Genomic DNA, 13,087 nt, shown 5'->3' with positions numbered 1-13,087 from the left:
TCATTTTTAAATAGCTGCCCTTAGGCTACTGGAGCCACTTTGCCCTCCTATGCAGAGAGCTAGAAGTGCCTGAGAATGCACATCCTCCTGGGAAGCCTCAAGCAATGATGAATGATGGATGTGGAAATACGAAAATCCAGCCCTCTGGTCCAGGGGCTGGAGCTGAATGGGACTAAGCTGAAGCCACCCTCTGTGGGACTTCACCCACATACTTGCTCCGCTTCCTCCTTTTTCTTTTCTTACTTCTACCACTCTCCTACTGATTTCTCCTGGAGACTTCCCTTAATCACTTGCACCTTCAACTGAAGGGTGCCCTTGGGGAATCTGTCATAGCACAACAGAAATAGTAAATGTAGACTGAGTGGTGTAGACAATATATATTAGAGAAATCAGGAGTTGAGGACTGTCACTGCCAACTGCGGTGATGAAGAAAGGCTTCCAAATATAGTAGAAACTAGATTTTATACACTTGTATCTATTCAGCAAATGATTGTAGAGTGACTACAATGTGCCAATTAGTGGTGATGGCAATGGAGGCACTTGCTAGGCCAGTAGTTCTCAAATTATGATCCCTGGACCACCAGCAAAAGCACCTGAGAATTTGCTAAACATGGAAATTCTCAGACCCCAACCCAACACTAACTTATCAAAAACTCTGGGGCCAGGGTCCAGCAGTTTGTATTTTTACCATCCTGCCAGGTGGTTCTGGTGCATATTCAAGTTTGAAACTGCTGCACAAAGATCTGATGACATATCTTATCTGCCAATTAATAATTGTGAGCTTGGAAAATTTATTTCATTTTCTGATGTTTAGTTTCCTCATATGAAAAAGGTAGGGGTGATGACATTTGCTGCTTGGGGGCCAAATAAGTATTAATTTTCTTGCCTTCATTTCTCTCCATATTGCCTTCCTTTCCTTCTATTTCTCTCCCTCCTTCTCCTCTTCCTTCTCTCCTTCTTTCCCTTTCTACCTTCCTTCTTCCCTCTCCCCTCCTTTTGTCCTTCTCTCCCTCTCTTCCTTTATCTCTCCCTCCTCCTTCCTTCCTTCTTTCCTTCCTTCCTTCCTACTTCTTTCATTCCCTCCTTCCTTCCTCCTCTCTTTCTTCCTCCCCCCCTCCTTCCTTCCTTCCTTCCTCCCTCCCTCTCTCCCTTCCTTCCTTCCTCCCTCCCTCCCTCCCTTCTTTCCTTCCTTCCTCCCTCCCTCTCTCCCTTCCTTCCTTCCTCCCTCCCTCCCTCCCTTCTTTCCTTCCTTCCTCCCTCCCTCCCTTCTTTCCTTTCTTCCTTTGTCTTTCCTCTTCCTTTCTACTTACTTGCCTGATGTTTTCAACCTGGTTATTAAAGATGGGCTGAATTTCACTAGGTGGAAAAAGAGGACTAAACTTTCTAGGCAACAGATGTCCCAGTCACAGCAGGGGGATCATTGGGCTAAAAAGAAGTCACAGTGAAAGGATAGGAGTGGCAGGTTATAATGAGGAAATGGGATTTCAGATGCTGTGTTGTAGTTTAAACTATATTGTAAAGGCAATGGTAAGGCATGGGATGTGAAGGACTGGGAGTAACTTGGCAAAATGCATGATTTGGGCAGATTTCTCTGGCATTGATCTACTCCATTTAGAAGAAGATCAAGATTTCAGCCTTAGATTTCAGTCAGTAAAGCTTATACATTAATATTGGCAATTAATCCAAATGGGATCCCGAATCTAAATCCTGGCATTCTAAATATGAAGTAGAAATGAGTCTAAGTCCTGCTGAGCACAGGAAATCAACTTGGCTGAAATTTAAGACAGAAAGTGAGTAAAGATGGCTTAGTGATACTCAACCTGATAGAATGGGAAAATCGCTAAAAGAGGAGTCAATGGGGGATATTGCTGAAGGAGACACACAGAGTTTGAGGTGACGTAACATTTGTGGGTTACTGAATTCATGCTTCTAGACATCCAGGAAAAGAGCAAAGTTTCATAAATATCCCTGTAAAGATAGATACCTGGGCAAACTGAAATGTATATAATTTACACACACACACACACACACACACACACACACATACACATATTACAAACCTCACTCTCTGCTAACTTGTATAACTACACAGCAACTGATACATTATTTTGGGAAAGATTCCTGTTTGGGTAATAAAATGAAACTATTTTGAAGCATAAATGAATTGTATTAGGTTGGTACACAAGTAATTGTGGTTTTCGCCATTGAAGGTAATTTCAAAAAAACACAATTACTTGTGGACCAATCCGATATATGTAACACATTGTATCTGTGTGTGATTTTTTTTCTTTTGGTGTCTGCAAAATGTGCTGAGTTTATTGCAGCCACAGTACTCCATAGGATTGCTTTGTGTATTTCAAGTCTTTACCCCCATCTGGGCTGGATACACTGAGTGCTAAATTCACTTCCTTGTCATTTTATTCTTCTCCTGTCAGCTTCCCATCCGTTGATCAAAAAATATCCAGAATCCCCAGAGTCACAAATAAGTTCTACATTTGGCCATTACATTGATCTTTCTTATTTAGCATATACTTAAAAACCATTTTCTATTGATCATAGTCCCCTCCTCAGTATCCAAACTCTAATTATTTTGAAATATTTTTATGTATACTTCCATTAGTTACTCCAGAGTTTGACTAATAATGGGAAGGGACATTTTAGTGTTTTTTTGTTTGTTTGTTTGTTTTTTTGTGTCATGGAAAAGTATACTAATCAATGGCCCTTTCTGATGCCCTGTGAAGTTCTGTGAGGATTTTTCCTGGTATCTTAATTGCAGTAGAATAGACACAGTGGTGTTCTGGCATCTCTCATCCAAAACAAACAGAAGGAATGTTGTATTAAAGATTTATATGGAGTAATGCTTCAAAACCAACCTGACCCATAGAAGAGCATAGCATGGTTCACTGCTGAGTCATTTGGTCAGAGACAGTCTGGAAAGATATTGTAAAGGAATCATATCCTCAAGAGAGTTACAGAGAGAAGTGGGTTGCCTCAGGATATTCCAGAAGGATATTTGCTCCAGGAAAAAAAATTATGTTAGAGAAACACTACAGAAATGATTTTCAAACTTGAGCATATATATAAATACCTGAAGGTCTTGTTAAAACATGACTGCTGAAATCCACACCCAGATTGTCTGCTTCAGTAGATCAGGGATTGAGCCAGAGAATCTGTATTTCTAATAAGTCCCCAGGTGATGCTGCTGCTGTTGATTGGTAATCATTGGCTTAGAACATCACCAGAAAGAAAGGTTAGAGTCAGGCGGGAACAAGAAACATATTTTTTTTTTGCTCCCAATTTTTTTCCAATTGTGCAGAGATTAATTTTCATAAAACACTATTTTGTTCATACTTTAAATTAGCTCAAATTGTTATTCTTCATTTTCTTCTCAATAAAACCATAAAAACAAACCCAAAAATGAAAATCTTCAGCAGTATTCCAAATCTTCCACCTATATCCCTGAAACACTGGTACCTTTGCTTGTTCTCAAAACATTTTTAAGCCTTCAATCCCTACATGTTTTGTTCATTCTGTTTGTTTTCCCTGGAATGCCATATTGTCTTCACCATCATTTTTGCCTTTCAAAGTCCAAAGCATTCTTTAAGACTCAACCTAATCCCTTCTCTTCATTAGGCTTTCTCTGATAAAGTGAAAACTTCTTACCCTGAGCTTCTTGCAACTTGTTTTTCCTCTTTTATTTTTTTTTCACAAAATCTTTCAGTGCCACCTATTATAGCTAGGGCAAAAAAGCAAATACTTTTATATTTAACTTAGTGAAGACCTTTTAATCTTCATATTCACCTTATGAGGTAGATACTATTATTATCCTCCTTTTACAGATAATTTACTTCTGTATACATCATTTACTTCTTAAGTTTCATGATATCAAACATATGATTTTAAGTACATTTGTGTTCCCCCAAAGTACCCATTACAGTGCCTTGCAAATAATAATGCTTATTAAAACAATTGCTGCATTCAATGTAGTCATCTTCTGTTTGCTATAAAATAGTAATAATAAAATATTCAAATTCTCATTCAGGTTAGTTCTTCAGGCTTCTATGTGAACGTAATTCTGATTATTAGAAAAGACTGGTTGTTGCAATGGTACAAAGACCTGGTTCCCTGTCATCAGCTCAGGATAACTCTAAAGGGCCAATGCAGCCCAGAACTCCTGTGAGATTGACAGAAGGCCAGTGTTGAAACTGTATTGTAGCTTTACCCATTCCCACATGCTCTATTCTCACATGCCTTGACCTCAATGGCTCTCCCCAGCAAATAATCCTGCACACTAATTTCCATGTCTACAGAGTCTGTTTCCTGAATAACCCAATCTAAGAAAAAAGGAGTATGGGCTAACTACGTTTATTAACTTTTTAAAAAACTTTTCCAGGGCCGGGTGCGGTGGCTCACGCCTGTAATCCCAGCACTTGGGGAGGCCGAGGCGGGTGGATCATGAGGTCAGGAGATCGAGACCATCCTGGTTAACAAGGTGAAACCCCGTCTCTACTAAAAATACAAAAAATTAGCCGGGCGCGGTGGCGGGCGCCTGTAGTCCCAGCTACTCGGGAGGCTGAGGCAGGAGAATGGCGTGAACCCGGGAAGCGGAGCTTGCAGTGAGCCGAGATTGCGCCACCGCAGTCCGCAGTCCGGCCTGGGCGACAGAGCGAGACTCCGTCTCAAAAAAATAAAATAAAATAAAAAATAAGAAGGATTCCAAAGACGTTCAGCCCATTCAAGGGAGAAAGTATATGCAAAGAGCTTGAGACAAGAAAAAATTAGCATATTAGAGAAACTGAAGATAAATATGTCACTCAGGTTTGAACAACAGGCATTTTCTCAATGTGTATTCATGTTTTCTCTTTAATCTCTCTGTGCTCACCTGACCATCTCTAGAGCAAAATTTTCCCTAACTTAGTTTCCATGACATTGAAATAATAGAACCCATGACTGTATCTTCGCCCGTCTTTTTGGTAGTTCTTTGGTGTCCCTTCTTCTTTTAATCTAATAATTAACTTATTAATTATTAAAATATTCACGAACATTTTTAGAGCCTATTATCTGCCAAGCACTCAGTCAGGTGCTGGGGCTGTAACAGTTAAGAGGATACGCATGGTCCCTGCCCTCTCAGACTGAGCAGGTTAGTGTAGAAAATATAAATTGCAATGAAAAATCAGTACATTATTTTTCATCCTTATAATGACTTTATGTGGAGGGTACTATTTTTCACATTTTACAGATGAGAATATTGAGAAACAAGGAGGTCATATAGCTCTAAGCTTTTGTCCTGAGTACTTTTGTTGCTTCCTATATTCTACCTCATAAACCTCACATTCTCCCAACAGTTGAACTCCATACACATGTCCAGAGCTCTAAAACACAAGAGCTAATACAGGCTCTAATGCAGAACCATTTCCATAGAGCAAAGCTTGAATTTCTAGATGTATAAGGATCTCCACCTGAACATCTCCCGCAGACCTTTGACTACAGCTGCCTAAAGAGAACTCATTATCTCACAACCTTTCCTAAACAAACATTAAAATAAAACTGAACAACTGTAAATTCCCTTCTTGGGTTCTCAACTCCTAAAAGTGTCACTATTTTTCTAGTTCTCCAGGGACAGAAAGTTAGAGATATCTTTAATAAATGCCTCTTCACGTAATTGCTGCACGTTGTTAGTTACATCTCAGCAATGTCTCTTTTTAAACATCCTTATATTTCATTCTCCACAGCTGCTATCACTGTTCTTACCTTCATGATCTTTTACCTAGTGCTTCCACGGCCTCCTAAATGCTTTCTACAGCTCTACTATTTTCTGGTTCTAGATCATCTTATGAACCTGTTATATCAGATTAATCTTTTTGGTACATTCCTGGTCATGGAGGTCCCCTGCTCAGCATTTCTGGAGTGAAGTACAAATTGCCCAGGCTAGCAATTAGAGCCCCACTTGACATCTTCCAAATCATTTCTTCTACCTTCCTCCATGTACTGTATGCTCTGGGTAGAAGGGTAGACTATAGACTACTCCCTTCCTTTTTATCTCTGTCAGAGAAAATCATATCTTAAGACTTCTGTCAAATGACCTCCCTTCAATGAAGTATCTCCAGACTTCACTGCCTTTTGAACTTTGCTAATGTGTTTGGTGTTCTCTTCTGGCACCATAGTCTGCCTAATACGGCACTTATTGGTATGTTGTCCAATTTCTCCTTTAAAGCAGGGGCAGGACGAGTTTTTTTTCACTCCCAAGAAAGGCCTTTACCATGGTAAATTAGGCTTAGTAAGTACTTCTTGAATTGAAATAGAAGGATGGGTGTTTACATTCAGATGAAAGCATGGAAAAAGAGAAAGGGTCAAACTAACTTATCAGTCATGCTAATTCAAATCACAACAGATCTTTTGGTGCATTGACTATATTTCTGTCTTTATTTTTTTGTTCTTGGCATTTGCTCTTCTTATCTGTGGGTTAATAAGTGATTTGGCTACTTTTTAATACACACTTGAATAGCGCTGCGTGTCTGGAAAATTCAACGATGGCCTCCTGGGAGGAACAGACTGCCCCTTAGAGGATATTACTTACATTTTCTTTCTAAATCAGGGTGTGTTTGTGGGGTGGTCACTGTGGATTGTTTTTCAGAGCTTCTCTTGAGAAAATGTAGAATGGTAAATTACCAAAATCTCTCTACCCTGTCATCAGCATTAGTATTCGTAATGATTTTATCAGGAGTAATTATTAATAACAATAATGAGAAGCTTGCCTGTAGGGTATTTTATCCTTTGGCACTGTGTTCATTAGTTATTTGGCCTCCACAGCATCCTGAAACCCCATGAAAACGGGGCTTGTTTTGTTATTTCAGACTATCTTACAAATAATGGCTCAGCCGATATTAGAAAGCAGGTTTGTTCATTTGTGTGTCGTAACTCAAAATATGGTTCTTGAATCAGCAGCCTCTGCCACACCATTAAAAATACAGAATATCAGGCCCCACTCCAGATCTACTGGATCAGAATCAGAACTGTAATAAAATCCCAAGGTTATTCCTGTGCAAAGTAAAGTTTGAGAAACACCCACTTTAAGTCCTAGAACAGAGCAACAAAAGGTATTTCATCCCTAGGGTACTGTAGTGTGTGCGTGCGTGTGATTTCATCCCTAGGGTACCGTAGTGTGTGAGTGCGTGTGCTTGTGAGAGAGAGAGGAGACAGACAGGTAAGAGGAGAGAAATCTCAGTAGGATATGGGTCCTTCCAGAGGGATGGGCATGTGGGATTTGTGGATGTGGGACTCCCCTGTATTCTTGCAGTAGCTTCACCAGATTTCGTTGCGTCTGCTGTCCAAGATTGTTGAGGTTAGCGTTATTTATAGTTAAATATGAGAGTTGAGAGTGTGGGGGAAGTTGTTGTCTGGTACTGCACCCAAACCAGGAGGATAAAGGAGGTAAGCACAAAATGACAGCCCCCTTTTCGAGCCTCACTCAAAAAGCAGCTCACTCAAGCTCATTTCCGATATCTGTAGTTTCTAGATGCATTTCGCCTCCTCGTGTTTCCACTTAACACCCACGACCCACTCACTCCATTAAAGCTAGTTCCTCGCCTCTAGTCTCCAGGTTTCTTTTTTCGTGGTCATCAGTCTCGCTCTCTCCCGGCACCCTCAGGCCGCGGGCCCCTCCCTTCGCGCGGGCTCGCACCTCTCCCCAGCCTGGTGCACCTGGGCTGACGCCGGCTCGGGACTCGTGCGGAGCGCCGCGAGCGCGGCGGAGGCAGAGGCGCGCTGACTGCCACCTCCAGCCCGTGCCGGAGGGACAGCACGCGCTGCGCAACGGAGACCGTTCTCCTTGGCCGCCGCTCACGGCTCGCGGCGACCACCGCCGTTGAAGCTGCAGGCGGGCAGCCGTGCGTCTCCCGGGACAGCCAGCCCCGGCGGCTGCTCCTCCCGGATGCCAGGGCCAGGGCGCCGGGCGGCCGCCAGCAGGAGAATGAAGAGCTCGGTGGGAGGAAGGAGAGAAAAGCTCCTGGGGGCGCCGAAAGCTCAGCCCAGCCGCGGTAAGTTGAGTGCAAAAAGAGGTGTCTCGGTTCAGGTGGCGGAGTTCGTTGGGGCGCCGGGCAAGGAGCTAGGGTTGCGCCCCTGCGGGATACCAGGCGCGAGGGGCTGGGGCTCGCATGGGGGGCGCGGAATGGGCGTTCGCACCGCCCAGACCTTGGACCACCTTTTCGGTATCCCGCACTATCGGTCCACACACCCCAGCCTCTTCTCGGTGCCAAGGAGAAGAGATGTGAGGTTGCGGGGCCAGAGTGAAGAGCGCGGAGCTGGAGGGTCTCAGGTCACAGCTCATTGCCGAGAACCAAGGGGCAGGGGAGGCCGAGGCGGGGGGGCGAGGTCAGCCTGGTTCTGTCCAGAGTCGAGGGCTGGGCCACCCGGTAAGGACGTCCTGCTGTCTGTCTTTCATTGGGTGTGTGCGAGGCGTGCTCCCTCCTCGGGGGAAACCTGGCGAAGTTGTTGGGATAAAGAAACACAGCGGGACAGCTTCCTGCTTCCTTTTCATTTCCTTCTTCTTCTTCTTCTTTTTAAAACAAATACTTAAAAAAACCTGAGATACACGCGTTTTGAGGGCAGGATGAGAAGCTCTTGAGTTATATGAAGCGTCCCTCCAAGGAAATCACTTTGACATTTAGGGTGGGGTTGGGAGGCTGAGTGTAAGCCAGGGCTCCTGAATCTGATTGTCTTCTTGGCCAGCTAGTGCCTCTTTTTACGCTTCCATTGAGTACCTGGAGGAGCAAATTAGAAGAGAGCACAGAGTTGTGTACCTTTTGACCTCTTGCATTTTGGGAGATGTTTTATTGTGTGTATGAATTTGGGTCAGAGGACACCTGCAGCCTCCAAAATGGTGTCACCCTGTGTGAAATGCCCAATTCCAGATCTGTCCCCCTTACAATCAGGCTTGTCCACCTCATGTGTTTCTGGAGATTGTGCTGATGAGTGCTTTAGCCCGAGCTGGTCTGTGATTTCAAACGAGTGATGCGTGGTTTCTGGGCATTGGAGTGTCTTCAATTCTGGAACCTTGAACTGACTGAGAACATCTGACATTCTGTAGGTGTAACTAAGGACCCTAGAGCTGGCGCTGTTCTATGCTAATTCTGCGGTGTTCCCGGAATATGGTGGGGAAATCATCTCTGTTCTGCTGAGTCTGTTTGCTAGCTGGTCTGTGAAATGTGCCTTTCAGGTGACCACTGAATTCCGGTTCACGATGTTTTCTAAAACCTACTGGAAAGGTCTTCCTCCCTCTGGGTTGTCGTGCCACTCGTTGGCCTATGCTGGTAATTCAGTCACACTACTCTGGTCTCTAAGCATGAAAGGCAAATATGGGTCATTTCAAATTATGTAGATTGATGCAACACAGCATGTCCGGGCTTTGCTGCAATTTCTTCACATTTCTTTCCAGATGTTTTTTAGAAATTAACTTGAGCACTCTCTTCATGGAGCTAAAATGTAGACTAGGGGAATGGGCAAACATCTTGAGTTAATGTATTATCTCAGATTTAAGGAAATGAAGTGCTGGAAGTTGTCTGTGTTAGGAGAAAGAGACCTGAGGCAAAAATCGGGGCTTCTGAATTATTTTTGCTCTATGACAATGTGGCTGAGAGATCTTTGGGGTTACCTAATAATAATAACACCTAAAATGTGTTTCCCATTCACTGAACACCAAACTCTACAGCTAACGTAAATGCCTAACAATCCCAAGAAGGTGGCGTTGTTACCATCTCCATTCCGTAGACAAGGAAAAGGAGATTTAGAGATGTTAAATTGGGAAAAGTCCCACAGTTAGTGTTTTGTAATCCAAGATTGCAGAACTCCAAAGTCGGTTGTTAACCCCTACACAACCTCTTTGAGCCTCACTTGAAAAATGAGAGCAATAAACCTCTCTAAGTTTTAATTCCATGAAAAATTCATACAGTGATTGTAATACCATAGATTGATTCATACCCAACCATTTCAGGTATTTAATATAACAGAATGCAGAATTTGTAGATGTGAAATAAAATAAAAATTGTGTGGCACTTATATAATTCGGACTGCCAGCTTTAGAGAGGGCAGAACACTGAGATCTTAGTGTTCATCTTGAATGACGTTCTTTGAGTCCTGTTATTGTAAATCAATAGTGCTACATTATAGCCCTTGTCTTAACAATGTGTGATTTATAACATCAAACATGTCTGGTGCTAACATCATATTTGTGTGACTATAGAGTTATCCTGAGGTCTACATGAACACTTCCATATTTCAGCCAGCTTATAATTAAAGCTCAGATCCTGACAGGATTTTAAATTTCCATTAAGAGGTACAAGCAGCTTGTTTTAAAATTTCCCTTTTATTTTAAACAGTATTTTCAAAACAATTACTACCCCTGCTGTGACTTGCTATTTACCAGGTGCATCAAAAGTTCAATAATGAAAATGTTTGCAATTCAAGAAAACAGTGTTTCATCTATAGTAACGAAGATTAGATGAGTCACATCTAACTTAGTTTTTTTGTAATTTAATTAAAATGTTGCATTTCTCATTGCTAAGTGTATGCAGGTAGCTGAGTATACAGTATCCATTATTTTCTTATAATCTCCAACTTCATAAATTCAGTACTTATGAGTTCTTCAGCTAAGTAATGTTAGTACTGTCTATAAAGATTTTGAGGTTTTAAAAGTAGGAGTAAGAACAAGTAAGATAACTTTGTCATGTTTCTTCACTAGCTGTAATTATACTTTATTTTGAGAGTGATGATATATTTTAAGTCACAGATCTCATTTATCCATACATGAATGGAATTATCAAATAAAATTTGTATAAACCCATTGGGATGCTAATGCTATTAATATTCCAAATTTGGGAGCAGCTTTGGAAAATAGAAAATCTTGGGGAAATTAACGATAATTTACTATGTTTCATTGTATTTGCATGATATCTTACTGTTTCCAATAAATCTACATGTCTCATAATAACTTGCCTAGAGAGTTGTTTTATTTTTTGGCAGTAGTTAAGGAGGTTTTTATAGTAGCTAACATATTTAACCTTAGAAGAGTATTAAAATAATGAAACTAATTATGAACTTGAATCGTCAAACTGCAAAATGTTTCATGACAATGGGAGTCTTGTAAATGGTTAGCCTTATAATCACATGTATGTATTTTCTACTGTTTTAAAAATGTTTGTTTCATATTCAAACAATAGGACTAATATTTTATTTGATATTATTTGGTGATTTGAACAACCAGATCTCTGAAAGGTAATTTAAGCTCCATAAACATGAGTCACACTGACATCCCAGATTGAAGAAACTAATATTGGAAAAGGATCTGTAATTTTGAATGTTTCAAGAGCTTGGAACTCAAGGTAGATGGTACTTCTTAGTTTTCTGACAAGGACTCTAAAGTGAGAAATTGAATAAAATAAAGCTGGTGAGTTGAAAATCAAGCAAGTGCTTAAATTGCCACTTAGGAAGCTGAGATCAACTTCTGTAGATTACACACCCAAAAACTGCCAGTGTAATTTATATTTTGAACAAGTAGATGACACACGGGAGATCATTTAAAACATTCTAGTCAATTAAAAATGTATTTACTTCTACTTTTTTAGAGCCTGGTAAAGCTAGTGATGTCTTCCTGCTATGGATTGAATGTTTATATCTCCCCCAAACTGATATTGTGGAGCCCTAGCCCTTAATGGGATAGTATTTGAGGTGAAGCCTTTGAGAAATGATTCGGGTTAGATGAGGTTATAAGGGTAGAGCCCCTGTAATGGGATTAGTGCTCTTATAAGATGAGGAAGAGATGAGGACCCTTTCTTTGTCATGTGAAGATGCAGCAAGAAGATAGCCATCTGCAGACCAGGAAGAGGGCCCACCGCAGTCATTGAATCTGCTGGCACCAAGATCCTGGTCTTCACAGCCTCCAGAACTGTGATAAACAAATGTTTGTTGTTTAGCTACCTAGTTCATAGTATTTTGTTGTAGCAGTCCATACTGATTAAGACACTTCCCATTTTGGAATAACTCATGATTAACATAAAAAATTTGCAATTAGAGGAAGTTGAAGGACACCCAGGGGCAGAGATGAATCAAATTATTTTACAAGGCCTTTATCCTATTATAAATGTGGTTTCAATCATATTCAGATAATTCTGTACTACTTCTAGTAGTGTGCCTAGATTGGGATATGTCTCAAAGAGTATCTTATTCCTAACCTCCTGATAAACCAGTAGAGTATACTAGAACACAGTTTTAGAATAGGATAGAGACCTTTAGATCGCTTAGTTACTTTATTTATTTACCTATAATGTCATCCTAACATGTGTTTAATTTTTTGCCTTATTTGCAACACATAGGGACAGTTCTCTTTATGGAAATATATCTACCAAAACAAGCCAGCATGTAGCATTTCAAAACAGGTCTTTTCAGTGAGAAGTTTTCAGTAAGAGAATTTTCATTTTCCTTCCTTGCAAGTTATGTAGCCCATCTTTCAGGAAACAGTACTGATCTTGATGCGCCTTGATTCGTCATTAGACCTATTTGTCCCCATGAGAATAAAATGCGTTATTATGCCACAGTGTTAGGAAGTTACATTTGAGGATTTTCCTGAGAGTCTCTCATAACATGAGGCCAGATGTTCCCTGTTAACTTTTTTTGTTATCTTATATGTTCTGATTTTATTACTGAAGAGTTATTCTCCGCAATTTGTATAATAGAAGAGATTATTAGAGACTTCTTTTTCCTTTGCTTCTCCAACAGTCTCCATCTATCCTCAACTGAAATGAAAGAAAAAAAGAATGAAATGTATCTTTTCTTTCAGGTGCTCCTTAAACAAAAGAATAACACAGGAAACTCCAGAAGGCATTCTGAAAAAAAAAATCTAGATTTTAAAATTGTATTTAGTTAAGTACAACTTCCAGAAGTTAGGTGTCTCAGTTTCCTAAAGCCATCCAGATCACCTGGAATGTAAAGAACAAAGGTTCCATGTACTGGACCGAGTTATCAGGTGGCTATAAATTCTACATTCACAGTAACTTCATAGTATATTCTATTCACAGTAAAACTTGACATCAAAATC

The 13,087-nt window shown here is 40.7% G+C and overlaps 1 protein-coding gene across 6 annotated transcripts in view; it reads left to right on the top strand.

Moving 5' to 3' along the window:
* Window positions 1-7,722: 7,722 nt before the first annotated feature.
* The window catches only part of ZNF385D (zinc finger protein 385D), a 960,546-nt gene continuing 955,181 nt past the window's right edge, over window positions 7,723-13,087 (top strand). For all 6 annotated transcript variants that reach the window (XM_017007192.2, XM_017007191.2, XM_011534122.3 and 3 more), the window contains exon 1: window positions 7,723-8,036. In XM_017007192.2, the coding sequence (XP_016862681.1) occupies window positions 7,931-8,036 (106 nt within the window). In that variant the 5' untranslated portion in view covers window positions 7,723-7,930. The remainder of the gene's footprint in view (window positions 8,037-13,087) is intronic.

The sequence above is a fragment of the Homo sapiens genome, chromosome 3 (assembly GCF_000001405.40).
Source record: "Homo sapiens chromosome 3, GRCh38.p14 Primary Assembly".
Classification (NCBI taxonomy): domain Eukaryota; kingdom Metazoa; phylum Chordata; class Mammalia; order Primates; family Hominidae; genus Homo; species Homo sapiens.
The sequence above is the reverse complement of the archived record's forward strand: the minus strand, read 5'-3'. Positions and strand labels throughout refer to the sequence as shown.